Raw genomic sequence first — 20,143 nt, 5'->3', positions numbered from 1 at the left:
ATAAAGCAGAGCAAATCATTTCTACCCATGAAATTATGAGGATGTGTGAAATATGGTATACAAAAAGCCTGGCTTATAGTTGGCATCAGTGTGTAATATAAGCATTTTTGTATACATTCTCTTTATATGTATTATTACTTTTTTGAGATGGAGTCTCACTCTGTGGCTCAGGCTGGAGTGCAATGGCGTGATCTCAGTTCACTGCAACCTCTGCCTGCCAGGTTCAAGCAATCCTCCTGCCTCAGCCTCCCGAGTAGCTGGGCTTATAGGCGCCCACCACCACGCCTGGCTAATTTTTGTATTCTTAGTAGAGATGGGGTTTCACCATGTTGGCCAAGCTAGTCATGAACTCCTGACCTCAGGTGATCCACCCGCCTTAGCCCCCCAAAATACTGGGATTACAGGCATGAGCCACAGCGCCTTGCCTATATGTATTATGTTTTTAAACAGCTCTTCACAATAGATGATTAGCAAGTAGCCCCAATTGTTGGCATATGTTTATTCAAAATATTTCTTCATCGTCCTTTTACTGTCTTTAAGGATCTGTAGTGACAATTTTCTTTCAATGTTGATATTTATAATATGCATTTTCTTTCTCTCATTATTTCTGGATTAGCCATGAATTTATCAATTTTGTGGATTTTTTTTTTTAATTGATCATTCTTGCGTGTTTCTCACAGAGGGGGATTTGGCAGGGTCACAGGACAATAGTGAAGGGAAGGTCAGCAGACAAACAAGTGAACAAAGGTCTCTGGTTTTCCTAGGCAGAGGACCCTGCGGCCTTCCACAGTGTTTGTGTCCCTGGGTACTTGAGATTAGGGAGTGGTGATGACTCTTAACGAGCATGCTGCCTTCAAGCATCTGTTTAACAAAGCACATCTTGCACCGCCCTTAATCCATTCAACCCTGAGTGGACACAGCACATGTTTCAGAGAGCACAGGGTTGGGGGTAAGGTCACCGATCAACAGGATCCCAAGGCAGAAGAATTTCTCTTAGTACAGAACAAAATGAAAAGTCTCCCATATCTACCTCTTTCTACACAGACACGGCAACCATCCGATTTCTCAATCTTTTCCCCACCTTTCCCCTCTTTCTATTCCACAAAACCGCCATTGTCATCATGGCCCGTTCTCAGTGAGCTGTTGGGTACACCTCCCAGACGGGGTGGTGGCTGGGCAGAGGAGCTCCTCACTTCCCAGTAGGGGTGGCCGGGCAGAGGCGCCCCTCACCTCCCGGATGGGGCGGCTGGCCGGGCGGGGGGCTGACCACCCCACCTCCCTCCCGGACAGGGCGGCTGGCCGGGCAGGGGGCTGACCCCCCCACCTCCCTCCCGGACGGGGCGGGTGGCCGGGCGGGGGGCTGACCCCCCCACCTCCCTCCTGGATGGGGCGGCTGGCCGGGCAGAGGGGCTCCTCACCTCCCAGTAGGGGTGGCCGGGCAGAGGCGCCCCTCACCTCCCAGATGGGGCGGCTGGCCGGGCGGGGGGCTGACCCCCCCACCTCCCTCCCGCATGGGGCGGCTGGCCGGGCGGGGGGCTGACACCCCCACCTCCCTCCCGGACGAGGCGGCTGACCCCCCCACCTCCCTCCCGGACGGGGTGGCTGCCGGGCGGAGACGCTCCTCACTTCCCAGACGGGGTGGCTGCCGGGCAGAGGGGCTCCTCACTTCTCAGACGGGGCGGCTGCCAGGCGGAGGGGCTCCTCACCTCTCAGACGGGGCGGCCGGGCAGAGACGCTCCTCACATCCCGGACGGGGCGGCAGGGCAGAGGCGCTCCCCACATCCCAGACGATGGGCGGCCCGGCAGAGACACTCCTCACTTCCTAGATGGGATGGCGGCAGGGAAGAGGCGCTCCTCACTTCCCAGACGGGATGGCGGCCGGGCAGAGATGCTCCTCACCTTCCAGACTGGGCAGCCGGACAGAGGGGCTCCTCACATCCCAGACGATGGGCGGCCGGGCAGAGGGGCTCCTCACATCCCAGACGATGGGCGGCCAGGCAGAGACGCTCCCCACCTCCCAGACGGGGTGGCGGCCGGGCAGAGGCTGCAATCTCGGCACTCTGGGAGGCCAAGGCAGGCGGCTGGGAGGTGGAGGTTGCAGCGAGCCGAGATCACGCCACTGCACTCCAGCCTGGGCACCATTGAGCACTGAGTGAACGAGACTCTGTCTGCAATCCCGGCACCTCGGGAGGCCGAGGCTGGCGGATCACTCCCGGTTAGGAGCTGGAGACCAGCCCGGCCAACACAGCGAAACCCCGTCTCCACCAAAAAAATACGAAAACCAGTCAGGCATGGCGGCACGCGCCTGCAATTGCAGGCACTCGGCAGTCTGAGGCAGGAGAATCAGGCCTCTCATTAATGTTACTGCTTGGTCCCAGTTTCATCATAAACAGTGCAAACATGAACACTGTGATGGTGAATTTGGTGTGTCAACTTGACTGGGTTCTGGGGTGCCCAGATATTTAGTCAAATATTCTGCGTGTTTCTGCAAGGGTGGTTTTGGATGAGATTAACATTTACATCAACGGACTGAGCAAAGCAGATTGCCCTCCCTGATGTTGGTGGGTCTCACCAAATCAGTTGACACTTCACTAGAAAAAAGGCTGACTCTTCCTTGAGTAACAGAGGATTCTTCCTGCCTGACTGCCTCCAAACTGGGACATTGACTCTTTTTCTGGTTCTTGAGCCTGCAGCCTTCAGACTGGAACTATGCCGTTAGCTCTCCTGGGTCTCCAGCTGCTGGATTTATCCTGCAGATCCTGGGTCTTGCCAGCCTCCAAATTGTTTAAGCCAATTCCTTATAATAAATCTCTTTATTGTATAATAAACATATAATAAATGCATACACACAGGTACTAACATCAGGTGGCAATAGTTATAAAGTATAATTTTTTGGTAGAAATATGTATCATGCAATATCTGAGATATATTTATACTAGAAAAGCATTCACTGTTTATGTGAAATCTAAATTTAACTGGGAGTCCTGTAATTTATCTGGTAGCCTCACATCTAGAGGACATAGAATATGATTTTATTATTTGTTAAGCTTATTATCAATATAGAAAAATTAAAATTCTCCCTGATAACTTGAGGATGGGTCTGCAGACTCCAACAGAGAAATTACAGTGGTGTTTACACAAATGTCACTTGTGTGGAATGATTTGGGAGCCTGCCCGCCACACCACCACACCACCCAGCAGCACAGTGGCAGGCTCTGAGCTCCTTGTGCTCCAGAGCATCATAACACTGCACCACCTGAGGAGTTGGAAAAGTCAACCCTAGGGATCCATTTTCAGGGTAGATGGACCCTCCCCGGAAGCCTTCACAGTGAACTCCCCTTAAGAGAACAATCCCTTCAGGGACTCATTCTGGCTTCTGCATTACTCACAGGCACAGTAGAGAATTGTTGCTAACCAGCATTGTGCCTTTTGTCTCAAGTCCACCTTCCCCTAAGAGACTCTTAAGACTAATTTCAGGATGCCTTTCATTCCTGTCCACTTCAGTCATCTCCAGAAACCCAAGCTCCTCAGGTCAAGGGGACCCTAATTCCCATGCCACTTGGAAGAGTCTCTGTTTTGACTCAATTTTCCTTTCCTTCCTGTGCTCCCAAACCTTTTCTCTGTGGGTTTGTGAACTCATGGCTGTCAATTACACTCTTTCCAATATCCTCAATTACTTCTCTGAGTGCTCACTTACTTTTTTGCATTAAATGAAAGCTGAATATCTGCTCATGACATTATTTCTTTTACAACCTACTGAGGTGGAAGGTGTCTTTCCTCTTAAAAACTGGGTACCTGAGGGCCTGAGGTGGGGAAGTTGTGTAAGTGGTCCTCCTTGCCTTCTGTGGTCACTTCTGAACCCATCCCTTCTCCCTCTTCCTTCAACTCTCCACTCCTTTAATGCCCATATGAATGCTCTATTTACCCTCATTAGTGGGTGTCTTTAGCACTGGCACACTGTCTTCCTGTCTATCCTTTTTCCTGACACCATTCCTGGTAATTTCAACATTCATATGGGTGAGACATCCAATACATTGGCTTCTAGTTTCCATGTTTCTCTTTGATCTTCTGATATGGTTTGGCTGTGTCCCCACCCAAATCTCATCTTGAATTGTAGTTCCCATAATCCCCACGTGTCGTGGGATGGACCAAGTGGGAGGTAATTTAATCATGGGGACAGTTACCCTCATACTGTTCTGGTGATAATGAGTGAGTTCTCACAAGATCTGATGGTTTTATAAGGGCCTTTTCCCCCTTTTGCTCAGCACTTTTGCTTCCTGCTACCATGTGAAGAAGTACGTGTTGGCTTCCCATTCCACCATGATTGTAAGTTTCCTGAGGCCTCCCCAGCCATGCTGAACTGCGAGTCAATTAAATCTCTTTCTTTTATAAATTACCCAGGCTCAGGTTATGTCTTTGTTAGCATTGTGAGAACAGACTAATACATCTTCTTTTTAATTTACTCTTTTGATCTGTTCCATTCCAGCCACTCATTACCTTTGTCATGTCCATGACCATACCATCACCAAAAACCTACATTCTCTGCCTGCTACCTCCTTTCATCCCAGCTCCCTTGGGGCAGTATTTCCAATCCACCTCATCAAGACTTCCAATACACTGGCCCTTCCACTTTTCCCACTATCTGTCATTTCCCTCAGGTTCTCACTTCCTTCCTTAACCAGCTAAATTTCTGTGGTTCATCATCATAACTACTCTATTTCAAGTATTCTAATTCCTGTATTCCACTCTTCTTCCTTCATATTTGCTCTCAGCTTAAGCCTACACATCTGACTACTACATACCTGAACTCAAGCCGGTAAACGTCATGAGAGAAAAACATATATCTAGACCAACTGGTCTTGCTTTAAATTCATGACCACAGATCTCAAATGAGCACTCAGCCCTGCTCAGCAATCCTACCCTTCACTATGTGTTCCACTTCCCAGTCTTCAAAACAACTATTTCACATTTTTACCTCCTGCCTCCCTTGCCTCCCTCACTTACTGGGGCCTCTTATCTGTCAGGAAGGGCCATCCACCTTGTTATCTTCCCTCATTCTTACCTGATGACCTCATCTCATATTTCACTGAAAAAATAGAAGCAGTTATATAGGTCCTCCTTGATATGGTTTGGCTGTGTCCTTGATAAAGGAGGACCTTTATCTTCCCAGCATACCTCCCAATTCATCTGAATTTGTGTTAATATTTCCTTCGTGTCTTCATATTGCTGTGGATAAAGTATCTTTGCTTTTACCAAGAGAAACCCTCTTCGCTTGTAAGCTTAATCCTCTGGCCTCTTGGTTTTTTAGAGGACTTTGCTTCTGCAATTCTCCTATCTCTGCTGCATCTCTAGGTTCTTTCTTTCCACTCAGATCATTCCCCCAAAATGCAGACCTGTTCCAGTATCTCCAGGGTTTGCAGAGCCTTTTCCTTACCCTACCTTTTCCTGTAGCTGATCTAGTTCTCTGCTGTCCCTCACAGAAGCCCTTTTCAGGGAGTTGTCTCCTGTGTCTACTTCCTCACCTTTGATTCTCTGCTCAGCCCTGTGCTATGGGTCCTCTCTTTCTTCCACCCCACTGAGACTGTTTTTCACGAGGCTGCTGATGACCTCCAGTGGTCACTTCTCTGTCCTTATTTGATCTCTCAGCAGCGTATTATATGGTTGATAGAGTTGGCCACACCCTTCTTGAACTGCTTTCTTCTCTTGGCTTCTAGAATATCATATCTTTTTAGTTGTCCCTTTGTAGTCTCCTTAGCAGCCCTGCACATTTGCTGCTTGATTTCTAAATGTCATAGTGCTGCAAGTCTTGGCCATAGATCTCCTTCTTTAGATCCATCTTCTCCCTGGTGAGCTCCTGAGCTCCTCTGGCCCAAGGCTTTGAATATGCTGCAGTGCCTCCCAAAACTACATACAGCTCTGTCTAGCTCACACTCATATATATCCAACCTTATATTTTATACCTCTACTTGGATGTCTAATAGGTGTCTCAGACTTGCTTTGTCCCAAATCAAACTCTTGCTTTTCCTTTCACCTCCAAACATGTTCCTCCCCCAGGTCTTCCCCATCCCAGTAAATAACACACATTCACACAGATGATCAGGCCTAAAACCTTGGACACATCTTTGATTTATTTCCTCATGCCTTATACTTAAGTCCTGTTGAACGTCCCCCCTAGAACTAATCAAGAATCTGAAACTTCTCTTCATCATCACAATTACGTCTTAGTCCCATCCAACATCAACTCTCACCTAGATTACTGCAGTCTGGTCTCCCTGCCTATCTCCTGGTCTCCCTTAATTGGTCTCCCTGCCTATGTCCTATTTGTCTTGTTCCTGTACTTTCTATTGTCCACTCAGCAGCCAGGGTGGAAATCAAATTTAAAGGTGTATTTAAAAGTATAAATCAAATCATGCGTACTGTGATGGTTAATTTTGTGTGCCAGCTTCACTGGGCTAAGGCATACCCAGATAGCTGGCAAAACATTATTTCTGAGTATGTCTGTGCACGTGTTTCCAGAAGACATTAGCATTTGAATCAGCAGGCAGTAAAGAAGCTCCACCCTCCCCAACATGCATGGGCATCACCCAGTCCATTGAGGACTGGAAAAGAACAAAAAATGTCGAGGAAGGGTACATTCTCTCTTCTCTGGAGCTGGAACATCCATCTTCTTTTATTCTCGGACATCAGCACTCCTGATTCTCAGGCCTTTGGGCTTGGATAAGAACTACACCACTGGCTTTCCTGGGCCTTCAGCTTGCAGATAGCAGATAATCACATAAGCCAATTCCTCATGATGAATCTTTTTCTCTACATTTATATATATCTTAAGGGTTCTGTCTCTCTGGAGAACCCTGGCTAATGCACCAGCTCTTCTGTTTATAACCCTTAAATGATTTTGCAGTGCTCCAAGAAGAAAGTCTAATCTCCTTCACTTGACCTACAGTGCTCCATGTGATCTAGCTCCTGTTTACTTCTCCAGCTTCCCTTTGAACCAGACTCTTCCTTGTCTACCAAGCTCAGTTAGACTGACCTTCTTTACATCCCTGAAACACACTTTTTTCCTGCCTTAAGGCTTTAGCACTAGCTGTTTTCTCTGCCTCAAACACTTTTCCTCCAGATTGTCCCACATGTATCCCCTGAAAGTCATGATTCCTCAAACCATGGGGAAGCCTTTGGAGATGGCATTTTCAGAACCAAGCAAGGAAGTAGATAGTGAGAAGGTAACTTGGTATCCTCATATACACAGACTGTCTGGGAAAGTCCACTCCCTTGCTGGAGCAGGTTTTGGGGGTAAGATGATGAATATGGGTTTGGAGATGTTGAGACTGAGGTGCCTGTTGGGTGTTTGTAGGTCTGATGCCCAGGAAAAGGTTTGGACTGGGGCTAGAGATTTCGGAAGCATCAGCATCCACTCGGTAGTGGCAGCTGTGGTAGAGAATGAGAACATTCAGTAACGTAAATGGTGTGGCCATGATGGAGTCATGACCCTGGTTGACAGCGTGGAGCTCTGAACTTCCATGAGACTCTGACATGTATTGGTATGGCCAAAATTACATCACTGATCAATGTTCCCATGGTAACCAACAATCACGGACATGACTCAAAATGGGTGAATGAATGACTGAATAAATCAATACTATTCAGCAACAATTCAAGGTCTTCAATTTTAGCCAGGCTGTTAGTGCCACTAGGGCATCTTTTTACTCATCCTTCCACTTCTTTCAACTATTCATACCCCATTTTTAGTTTCCCACACCCATCTCTGTATGTCGCACTTCATAAAGCAATCAAGACCATCAACTGTTACCTTCCCTATCTTTCCATTTTTCTATCCTCAAATCCAGTGGTCCTGATTCTACGGAACAAGCTCATTCTCGTTTTCCCAGGACCTTCCTGGGTTTGGCACTGAAAGTTCCACATCCTGGAAAAATCCCCCCATCTTGAGAAAACCAGGATGGTTGGTCACCCTACCTGAGACACAGATTGCATGGTTTCTCGGGGGACATTTCCATGAGGTTGAATAATGAGGTGCATTTAGCAGTGGCCGTCTCCATCATATATCCTTGTATCCTCCCTCTTGCCTGCTTCGCTCTCCTTGTTCCTCACTCCTGCTCCCTAGTAAAATACAGATGCTTCTTGGCTTATGATGTGGTTATGTCCCAATAAACCCATTGAAAACTGAAAATATCATAAGTTGAAAATGCATTTAATACACCTAACCTACTGAACAACATAGCTTACTCTAGCCTACCTCAAATGTGCTCAAACCACTTCCATTAGCCCACAGTCAGGCAAAATCATCTAACACAAAGCCTATTTTATAATAAAGTGTTAAATATCTCATGTGACTTATTGAACACTGTACTGCAAGTGAAAATCAGAATGGTTGTATGGGCTCTTGAACTACGGTTTCTACTGAATGTGTATCACTCTTGCACCATCATAAAGTTGAAAAGTCATAAGTTAAACCATGGTAAGTTGAGGATCATCTATGGCAGCTCAAAAGCCCTCTGCCTCAAGCTCTGCTTTCTGGGGAAGGTAGGTTAAGTCCAAGCAGTAAGCTGACTCCTACTCTGAGGATACCACTGGGTGTCATGGTGGTGGGAATAGGATTGTGAATTATTGCAAGGAGGGAGGAGTTCTCTGAAATTCACATAAGTTTTACTGGAGTCTATCCAGGGTCTCATCTTCCAATCATGTGAGCTGTGTCCCTATTGACCCTTTTCTGTCTCCGCATCCCACCCACATTTTACCTGTGCCATGTGTAGTTTTTGTACATGTCATGCTGCTTTGGACTCTGGGCTTTCTAGCTCATTCCTGGAATGCCCTGCCCACTTCTTGTGAAAGATTTCTATTTATCCATCCCTCATGACTCAGTTCAAACACCACCTCCCCCCAGGGCCTGCCAACCCTCCTGGCCAAGGCTTGGGGGAGCTCCTTCCTCTCTACCTAGTGCTGATCTCTGCCACTTCATGTCCACATTGTTTATAGAGTGTCTGTTTATGCACCAGAACGTAAGCTCCTTGCAGGCAGGGATTTTTTCCTGTTCAACTCCATATCCCAGCACTTGTCACGCTCCTTGCTTAATACATATTAGTTGAATACTGAACAAGTTCTTCCAGCAGTCCTGTGAGGTCTATTGTGGTGACACCATTTCCAGTTAAAATATGATAAAATTAAGACTCAGAGAAGAGCAGAAGTGATGTGGGATGTTAGAGGTAAGCCAAGTCGGGTTCGTCCACCTTACCAGTGGTTTCTTTAGACAAAATATGCGTGGCTTTTCCAAGCACTGTATGCAGAGGGCAGCCAGGGACTCAGAGTCACTCACAGAGTGAGACTCTCAGAGGGCCTCCCAGCACAGTCCTTCCCAGGCTGTCCTCCTGCTTGGAAGCAACCTCGCAGTTCCACTGTTGCCCTGACATCTCCTGCTGTAAACTCTGCAAGGCAGCTGCAGCCTTCTACCTGCTCCAGTGCTCAGCTCTCCCTTCATTTTGACCTTGAAAATGCCCTCACTGTGGAGTGACAGACATTGGAGAGTTGGAAGGGTGGGAGGGGGGTAAAGGAAGAGAAATTCTTTAATGGGTACAGCGGACAATATTTGAGTGATGACTACACTAAAAGCCCAGACTACACTATCCAATGTATCCATGTAACAAAACAACACTTGTACCCCCAAGTCTATTTTTTTAAAAAAAGAAGGAAAATGCTCTCATGTTCCTGTAAGCTTAGCTGTACATTTAAAATGACTGAAAATTTTCTTACCAGCATTTCTGAGTGTTTTGTAGCAGAGAACTTTCAGGTTATTTCGTCTGACACTCTATGAGTAGTTAACCTCTTTCTTGTGTTTAGCCTTCATCTCCACCTCTCCCATTCCACCGTGATGTAGTTTTTCCAGAGGGGAAGGGCAACTGTGTTGAGAAACCTAAAGGGTGACCTCTCTTGACTCTGTCATTGCTGCTGAAGCCACTGTAGAAAGGAGTGATCCTGGGACTGAAAGATTTATAGATGGGGCTTTCCAAATCTGGGAGTGTGCTGTACAACATCCCATGAAAAGGTGTGGGGCAGGCATGAGTAGGGGAGCTTCATATATGCTTGGGGCCTCTTTCCAATCCCAGCTCTTGTCCCTCAGTCTCTGTTGCCTCCATAATCAAGTCCACTCTCCTTGGCCTGAATTTAAGGCCTTTTGCCATCTGCCCTACATACCTCTCCAGCTCCACCTCCCAATTCAACCAACCAACCATTCTACCTGGTGTGATTCCGATGCAGCCCATCTTTCCTGCCTCCAGACTGCACCTCATACTTTCTCTTCATCTTGGATACCCTCCTTCCAGGGTTTTGCTTCATCAGATCTTTCTTATTCTCCAAGGACCAGGTCCAGTATCACCCTTCAGGAAGATGGGGCACTCTTCCTGACCCCAGTGCCCCATAGCCCATCTCTGGCCCTTCCTGTGGTCCTGATGACCATACTTTGCTGGTGCTGGGGTCTGTGACCATGCAGTCCTGGGAGGAAGCCACCTTCAACTCACTCTGCTTCTGCCAGTGCTCCATGCAACATCTTGTTCATGGTAGGGGCTCACGTTTGTGTGGAATGATGAGAATGGGTGGTGGGGGCCTGGCTGCCACAGGGAGGTATGTGTAGTCTACCAAAGCAGCATGCTCCTTCCTGGTCATGAGGTGGTGACCATCTCATGGCAGCCTTGAAGTTGAAGGAAAGTGACTACTGAGGCTGCTCTCCATTTTCTCATCCAGAACTGGGGCTGGGAACTTAGAAGCAATGGAGGGAGCATTGCTTTGCTCTGAATGGAGGACAGTTTATGGCTTTCACGTTCCAGGCCCTAGGAGGAAACAAAATGCCACATCCTGAAAGATCCCTCAGCCACTATTACTCCATTGCCCAGATCATGCAGGCTCCCCACCCCGCAAGAAGCACCTCCCCAGCATCACCTCTGAATGGGGGAGCAAATGATTGGGTGGTCAGCTGATGGTAGAGGGATTTCCAAAAGTAATTTTGAGTATGCTGAGTTTTTGCCTAATATGCTGACTTCAGCCCCTAACCCCAATACCAGATATGTCTTCACCTTAGCACTGACACCTGACGTACAGTTTGTTGTATCAGTGAATGAATCCTCAAACATTAGAGTTAGGAGGAGCCATAATGGCTATTAGCTGCAATACACATTTTATGAAGAAATAAATATAATTGTAATAACTATTTATTGAGAGTGGATCTATGCTAGGTACCACACTGAGCACTTTATACGCATTATCTAATTTTATCCTTTCATCAACAATGTGAGGTGGAAGTTATCATCCCTACTTTATAAATAGGGAATAAGGCACATAGGAGTTGCATGGCCTAACAAGGTTGCAGAGCTGGTGAGTTGCGGGAACCAGATGTCTCTAGAGCCCTCTGGCTAACCCTATGCTATACCGCTGCTCACTGCATCTGGAGGAAACAGAGACTCACAGAAAGATAGTAACTTGCCTGGGTCCCCCATGCTCTCAGAAGCAGGATGGCCACTTTATCCAGAGGCGCCTTCATTCCTGGGCCTTCCAAGACATCTGGCCACAAAGACACCATGAAGAGGAAGAAGAATTTCAAGTGCATTCTAAGAGCCACATCCATTCTCTTGTTGTATAGGCAGAAAACCTGCACTCAAAGACCCAGCCAAGAAGAAAGATTTGATCGGCTGGGCAGGATCCACTTCCCATGGCGACGCCTCCTTGAGTCGCAGCTCTGGTATGAAGCAAGACTTGTTTAAGGCAGTTAAAAGCAGCAGTCTCCATTGTGTCGAGTGGTGACAGTATAATCCTCCTTAATAATTTTGTTCCCTCTCCAAACTCCCCTCCATTATGCATCCTTAAGATGTGACTTCAGATGCCTCTTTAGGTTTCTAGTCCTATGAATGCAGGAGGATTTGGTGAGAGGGGAAGCAGTAAAGAATGTCTTTACTGTGCTCAATCACGCAGAGATACTTCACTGGAAATATCTCCTGCACCCTCTGCCCCCAATATTTTTATTTTTTGATCAGAGCTATTTGTTTTATTTTTGAATGCAAATATAAATTATATACCAAAAGTAAAGATATTAAAACCTCCACATCGACATCACCTTGCTTCAATAATATCAACATATGGCCAATCTTGCCTCCTTATACCCTGTCTATTCCTACCCCCTTACCACTGCATTCATTTGAAGCAAATCCCAGATATACCTGGGATGCATATATCTTTTTATCTCTAAATACATCTTTTATCTTTAAAAAATATACACAATATTATATCACACCTAAAATTAAAAATAATTGTTAATATCACTAAATACCTAGTCTATGTTCAAATACACACACACACACACACACACACACTAATGTATATATCAGAATCCACAGACTTTGTGGATTCTGATATACACATTGAATTTGGTTGACATATCTCTTGTTTCCTTTTTTTTTTTTTTTTTTTTTTTGAGGCAGGGTCTCATTCTTTCACCCAGGCTGGAGTGCGGTGGTGCGATCTTGGCTCACTGCAAACTCCACTTCCTGGGTTCAAGCAATTTTCCTGCCTCAGTCTCCCAAGTACCTGGGATTACAGGCATGTTAAGCATGTGCCATCACAACTGGCTAATTTTTGTATTTTTAGTAGACATGGGTTTTACCATGTTGGCTAGACTGGTCTCGAACTCCAGACCTCAAGTGATCCAACAGCCTCAGCTTCCCAAAGTGTTGGGATTACAGGCGTGAGCCACCGTGCCCGGCACTTTTTTTTTTTTTTTTTTTTTTTTTTGTGAGACAGAATCTCTTCTCTCTCTTTCACCCAGGCTGGAGTGCAGTGGTGCAATCTCGGCTCACTGCAACCTCCTCCTCCTGAGTTCAAGGGATTCTTCCACCTCAGCCTCCTGAGTAGCTGGGATTACAGGTGCCCAACACCACACCTGGCTGATTTTTCTATTTTTAGTAGACAGGGTTTCACCATGTTGGCCAGGCTGGTCTGGAACTCCTGGCCTCAAGTGATCCACCCACCTCGGCCTCCCAAAGTGCTGAGATTACAGGCAGGAGCCACCGCGCCCAGCCCTTTGCCTCTTTTAATTAATATGCTCCCCTTCTTCCTTTATTAAAAAACAATTACATATTGAAGAAACTTGGTTGTCCTGTAGAATTTTCCATGTTCTGGATTTTGCTGACTGCATCCCCAGGGGATCATTTAACATGTTCCTCTGGTTCCTGGTAGTGAAGTCTAGAATTTCTATCAGATTCAGGGGAACAGAATTTGAGGGCAAGAAAGTTTTAGAGGCGGTACTGTGTATTCCTTGTTGCCTCACATCAGAAGGCACATGCTCGCTAGTTTTCTCCAGTCTTGGGTTATTGAGAAGATATTGATCAGTGGATTCAGGTGTTTGCAGCCTGATCCATCCATTCTAATATTCCTTGCTGGCCTTTTGCCTAATGATATTAGCAGTCATTGATGATTATTGTCTAACACTGTGATTTCATCAGAGGTTTCACATGATATTCTAATTCTGATATTCCTTCTTCCTTTATTAGCTGTAATTCTTCTATAAAGAAGAGCTTGGTCTCATCAACTATCTGGTTACTCTGAAATAGTTCATAAAGGAAAGGCAGGACAAATGCTTGATTCTTTATCTTTAATTTATCTGCTTTTGGAATAATGAGTTTATTCTCAAGCATCTCCCAAAGGTGATATGCTGGTTATGTATTGCTGCATATTAATTGCCCCCTCACTTAGTGGCTTAAAATAGCAACCATTTTATTTTGTATTATAATTTTGTGGGTCAGGAATTTGGGCCAGGATCAGCTGAGAGATTCTTCTGCTCTGTGTGGTACTGGCTGAAGTCACTTGGGAGTATTCAGCTTGTGGATGGGCTGATCTGGAGGATCCGAGACAACTTCCCTTGTATGTGTGATGTCTTAGTGGGAATGGCTGGAAGGCGGAGCTGTGCGGGGACTGTTAACCGGAGTGCCTACACTTGGCTTCCCCAGTATGGCAGACTTCTTATATAGTAGTTCACGGCTCCTTAGAGAATGTTCCAAGAGACTCAGGTCAAAGCAGCAAGGCTTTTTCTGACTTAGCCTCAGAAGTCATACAACATCACTTCTGCCATATTCTTTTTATTACAAGTGAGAGTTCCAGGATTGGTCCAGGTCCAAGGGAAGGGTAGTACACATACACGTGAACACTGGGAGGCATAGTTTATTGAGACCCTCTTACAGCTACCTGGAGCATAGAGTCAGAAGTCTTCCTAGCTTCTCTGATTGTACTCGACCCCTTCTCCCCGCTATGCCTCTGACCATCCTCTTAATTTTGGCTGGGAGTTGTTGCAGAAGACACATCCATGCTCCAGGTGTGCACAGTCCCCTTCGTGGTCAGCAGAATGTGTACAGCCTCATTGTGAGCAGGGCCAACAGTAGGTTACCAAGCTCCTGCAATGCTGGAGTGCCCATTACCAACTCCTGCCAACCCACTGCCACATAGTATCTCATGGGCTCTTGTTTAAGCTGAACATATTCACTGGGGCCACCTTGGAGAACTTGGCCTTGACCTGCTTAAACACTTGAGCAAGGTTCTATTCTGAGAGCTTGGATCTTTCCTGAGACCAACAGGACTCACAGGGGTTTTGCAGATGGGACTAAGAGCGCCACAGCCATGCTTTCATAATGATTGGTTTTAATGGCTGTAAAATACTTCATACTGTGGACGCAACACACTCTGGCAAACCATTTCTCTACTATTGTAGTTGTTTGCACTTTTTGATCATTTGCAAGTAATACAAATATATATATATATAGTATGCAGAGCCTTTTTATTCTGTTGAAGTATTCTCTTAATTATTGATTTTTAAGAGGAGAATTGATTTTTGTATCTTGATGTATATTACCAAATATACTTCCCAAAGAAGTAAACAGTTTATATTCCAACAGCAGTGTATATACTGGTGTTTCTAATACCTTCAACAGCATTGGCGAATTACCATTTTAAAATGTTTTTGCTAATTTTATAGATGCTAAACTGAACTTAGGGTTGCTTTGGATTTCTTTTGTTTTCCCTATTCTGTTCTAAGATGTCAGTTCTTTTCTCTTACAACAATCATACAAAAGAATACATTTTGGCTCAATTTGGTGTTGATTTGTTTGATTTGGAGCAATTTGATGTTGGTCACTTAAGTGAAACTCAGGTTGTTTCCAGTAGTGTCGCCAGTACAAATTGTATCAAAGATTCTCTTTACCTTTTAAAAATAAAAACATTTAACTTCTAAATCTTAGGGATGAGCAACAGCAACACTTTTCTTCTTGGATTCTGTACCTACAGGAAATTCACAAGTGGAGGTAATACCTAATTATATCAGGGATAAGCATGTGACCAAGCTTCACCAATCAGAATCCTTTCCCAATCCAGGATTTGCGATAATGGATCTGGGAAAGGGACCTTTTCCTCTCTGGTTATGGCACTGGGAGGATACAAGCCCAGAGCTTGGGTGGCTAGTCCTACGTACCATGAAAAGAATGAGAACAGAAGGAAGACAGAGAGAGGGGAGAGGTAGCCCCATATGGGGTTGAACGACTTATTCTAGTCACCAAGGCATATTAATCCTGAGTTGTTTTTTTTTTTAATTCAGCTTAGCTCTTACCTCTTGTTGTTGTTGTTTTGAGACAGGGTCTCACTCTGTTGCCCAGGCTGGAGTTCAGTGGTGCAATCAAAGCTCACTGCAGCCACCAACTCCCAGGCTCAAGCAATCCTCTCACCTCAGCCTCCCAAGTAGCTGGGACTACAGGCATGCACCACCATGCTTGACTAATTTTTGTATTTTTTGTAGAGATGGGTTTTCACTGTGTTGCCTAGGCTGGTCTCAAACTCCTGGGCTCAGCGATTCTCCCCCGCCTTGGCCTCCCAAAGTGCTGGGATTACAGGCGTGAGCCACTGCACCCAGCCTGTTTTGTCTTGTTTTTAAGCAATGATAATATCCTTCCAATAACCACCCTGTCTTCTTTTTTTCTTTTGTTTAACCAAGCTGGAATTGGGTTTCTGTCTCTTGAAGCCAAAGAATCTAGCCTGGTGTTTCTGAACAGCAGCACTAATGACATTTTGGACAAGGTAATTCTGGGTTTGAAGGAGCTGCTCTGTGCATTTTAGGATGTTAGCAGCAGCCCTGGCCTCTATTCCACTAGATGCCAGCAGCACCCCACCCCAAGTATGACAATTGAAAATGTCTCCAGAGAGCTACATGTCCTCTAAGGGTGAGGGCAAAGTTGCCCCTGGCTGAGAACCACTGGTTTAGTCTAATGCCCTTGATTTTTCTTGTTTAAATGAGCAAACAGACAGATGGGGAAACTGAAGTTTGGCGAGATGGTGGCATTTTTTTTCAAGGCAGCAGAGACATGACTCCCAAATCAAGCGGAAAAAAAAAAAAAAAAAAAAGGATCCAGGAAGCGATACTACAAAGAGATGTTGGTACATGCAGATATTGGCTCTCTTATAGCTGTTGGAACAATAACAAACCCCACAAAATGATTTGGGATTTTACCCATGACACAGGCAGTAACTGTCTGCTTAAGAATTCTCACGCATCTCACGAGATAGTGAGACAAAGCAATGCCAATTTGTTTCATTTCTGTTGGTTTAGATCTTTCAGGTGAACGACTTGGAGGTTTGGGTTCAGCAAACTTTGACTGGTGTCTCGGAGGGTTCACCACATGACCTCTGAAGCAGATATCCAGGAAACCAAACGTTGCTACAATTCAAATATAAGATTCCTGACACAATACTGCCTACATGAGATCAGTAAAATGACATGAAGAAGCAGCTTCATTTTTGTTAGAACTATTTTTAAGGAAGCGCTCTTCAGAGGAGGAATGGTGAGGAAAAGAGTACTGGCACAGGAATGCAGAGGTCGGGATGTGATCTTGGCCCTGCCACTAATGCTGTATAATACTGTACAAGTGTCTGCCCATCTTGTGACCTCAGTTTCCTTTTCTGTATAATAAGGGCCTGGACCAGACAAACTCGGAGGGCCTTTCTAGCACTGCCCTTCAATGATTCTCATAAGCAGACACCACACCTGTCTATCTCAGCTGTCCTATCCCCAACCCAGGACCTGGTGCAGCATCAGACGTGAAATAGGTACCAAGCAAATGCTTGTAAAATGCATAGATAAATTATTTAGGAGATAAATGACAATAACATCCCAGCTCCCACAAATGCATAAAATTGAAAAGGGTCTTAGAGTTAAAAGGGTAGGAAAGCTCATTTAGTTTAACTTCCCTAATGAAGCTGGAACCTTCTACCTTATTTCTGGTAGGCTGAGCATATAGTTTCTGTTTAAATACTTCTGTTAGATGGCGAGGGAACTCTATTTGTAGGGACAGCCAGCTCCACTGTTGGATACCTCTGGATATTAAAAAGTTCTTCCTTATCTGGAACCTCAGTTACCCTCCTTGTAGCTGTTACCTGCTTCTAGTTTTATTTTTTAAAATTAAATTTTGTTTTAATCAAGAAATACATGCAGTTTGAAAAGTCAAATAATACTGGAAGTCTTATTTATAATAAAAACTAACTCTCTTCCTTACTTTTCACTCCTTAGAGTTGAGACAATCATTTTCCACCCTTTCAGCTGTTTCTTCTGATATTTATATCTGAATTTCTTTCTTTCTTTCTTTCTTTTTTGAGATGGAGTCTCACTCTATCGCCCTGGCTAGAGTGCAATGGTGCGATCTCGGCTGACTGCAAACTCCCCCTCCCAGGTTCAAGCAATTCTCTTGCCTCAGCAGGAGTAGCTGGATTACAGGTTCCTGCCACCATGCCCGGCTAATTTTTGTATTTTTAGTAGAGACAGGGTTTCACCATGTTGGCCCCGCTGATCTCTTTGGCCAGGCTAGTCTCAAACTCCTGATCTCATGATCCACCTGCCTCCCAAAGTGCTGGGATTACAGGTGTGAGACACTGCCCCCGGCCACTTATATCTGCATTTCTAAATGATACGCTCATACTTTTATTTCTTGATTTATTTCTTGATTTATCAATTTTAAACACTATTGATTTCCTATTTTCATAGAAGAGGATTTAGCCCTCTACCATTCTGGGGCCTGGAAGATGGCGACCCTCTTCTCACAGCTCCACTAGGCAGTGCCCCAGTGGGGACTCTGTGTTGGGGCTCCAACCCCAGATTTCCCTTCTGCACTGCCCTAGCAGAGATTCTCCATGAGGACTCTACCCCTGCAGCACACCTCTGCCTGGACATCCAGGCTCTTCCATACCTCCTCTGAAACCTAGATGGAGGCTTCCAAACCTCAATTCATGTCTTCTGCACACATGGAGGACCAACACCATGTGGAAGCTGCCAAGGCCTGGGGCTTGCACCCTATGAAGCAACAGCCTGAGCTGTATCTTGGCCCCTTTTAGCCATTGCTGGAGCGGCTGGGATGCAAGGCACTCTGTACACAGCAGGAGGGCCCTGTGTCTGGCCCAGGGAACCATTTTTCCCTCCTAGGCCTCTGGGCCTGTGGTGGGAGGGACTATCATGAAGATCTCTGACATGCCCTGGAGAAATTTTCCTCATTGTCTTGGTGATTAACATTCGGTTCCTCCTTATTTATTTAAATTTCTGCAATGGGCTTGAATTTGTCCCCAGAAAATGGGTTTTTCTTTTCTATTCCATTGTTGGGCTGCAAATTTCCAAACTTTTATGCTCTGCTTCATTTTTTTTTTTTTTTTTTTTTGCGATGGAGTCTCACTCTGTTGCCCAGGCTGGAGTGCAGTGGCATGATCTCAGCTCACTGCAACCTCCGCCTCCCACGTTCAAGCAATTCTCCCTGCCTCAGGCTCCTGAGTAGCTGAGATTACAGGTGTCCAGCACCACACCCAGCTAATTTTTGTATTTTGAGCAGAGACGGGGTTTTGCCATGTTGGCCAGGCTGGTCTCAAACTCCTGACCTCAGGTGATCTGCCCACCTTGACCTCCCAAAGTGCTGGGATTACAGGTATGAGCCACTGTGTCCAGCCTCTGCTTCCCTTTTAAACATAAGTTCCAATTTCAGATCATCTCTCTCAAGTTCAAAGTTCCACAGATCTCTAGGGCAGGGGCCAAATACTGCCAGTCTCTTTGCTAAAGTATAGCAAGAGTGACCTTTGTTCCAGTCCCCAAGAAGTTCCTCATCTTCATCTGAGACCACCTCAGCCTGGACTTCATTGTCCATATCACCATCAGCATTTTGGTCAAAGGCATTCAACAAGTCTCTAGAAAGTTCCTAATGTTCCCACATCTTCCTGTCTTCTGAGCCCTCCAAACTGTTCCCACCTCTGCCTGTTAGCCAATTCCAAAGTCGCTTCCACATTTTCAGGTATTTTTACAGAAGCACCCCACTCCTGGTACAAATTTACTGTCTTAATCCATTCTCATGCTGCTATGAAGAAATACCCAAGACTGGGTAATTTATAAAGAAAAGAGGTTTAATTGGCTAACAGTTCCACATGGCTGGGGAGGCCTCAGGAAATTTGCAATCATGGTGGAAGGCACGTATTCACAGGGTGGCAGGAGAGAGAATGAGTCCTGAGCAAAGGGGGAAAAGCCCCTTATAAAACCATCAGCTCTTGTAAGAACTCACTCACTATTATGAGAACAGCATGGGGTTAATGCCGCCATGATTCAATTACCTCCCATGACACGTGGGGATTATGGAAACTACAATTGAAGATGAGATTTGGGTGGGGACATAGCCAAACCATATTACTATGTCTCTCTTTTTGTACTTCTTTTTGTTTTTCCTGGACTTAATAATTGCTTGGATGAGTCATCTAGGTAGTTTTCTCTAATTCTTCCCAAATGTTTCAACTAATCTGAAAACAGCTATCAATACATCGTTTTTAGAAAGTTTTTATATTTTTTAAAGTTATACAGATACATAGTTTAAAGATCAAATAACTCTGTAAGATTTGACACAAAAAGAGTAGCCCTATTGCTTTGCCTTCTCCCATATCCCCCACCCAAAAGCAAATTTTTTCCACCTCTTTTCACTTTTTTAGTATTTTCTTCCACATCTCTATATAACTCAATTAACTTGCTATTACTTGATTTTTAACAATTGAGATATAATTGGCAAATAAAAATTGTATATATTTAAGGTGTACAACA

The 20,143-nt window shown here is 45.2% G+C and overlaps 1 long non-coding RNA gene across 1 annotated transcript in view, besides 1 other annotated feature; it reads left to right on the top strand.

The window, feature by feature from the left end:
• PTCSC2 (papillary thyroid carcinoma susceptibility candidate 2) overlaps positions 1–20,143 on the top strand; it is a 153,456-nt gene that overhangs the window by 54,788 nt on the left and 78,525 nt on the right. The gene's annotated exons all lie outside the window — the stretch shown is intronic.
• Positions 10,935–12,019: an enhancer, noted in NCBI's record as "VISTA enhancer hs1595". NCBI's record gives its function as "enhancer in: facial mesenchyme[3/4] | other[3/4]" and the evidence as "EXISTENCE:transgenic organism evidence [ECO:0001131][PMID:17130149]".

The sequence above is a fragment of the Homo sapiens genome, chromosome 9, assembly GCF_000001405.40.
Source record: "Homo sapiens chromosome 9, GRCh38.p14 Primary Assembly".
Taxonomy (NCBI): domain Eukaryota; kingdom Metazoa; phylum Chordata; class Mammalia; order Primates; family Hominidae; genus Homo; species Homo sapiens.
Note: the sequence above shows the minus strand (reverse complement) of the source record. Positions and strands in the feature narration are given on the sequence as shown.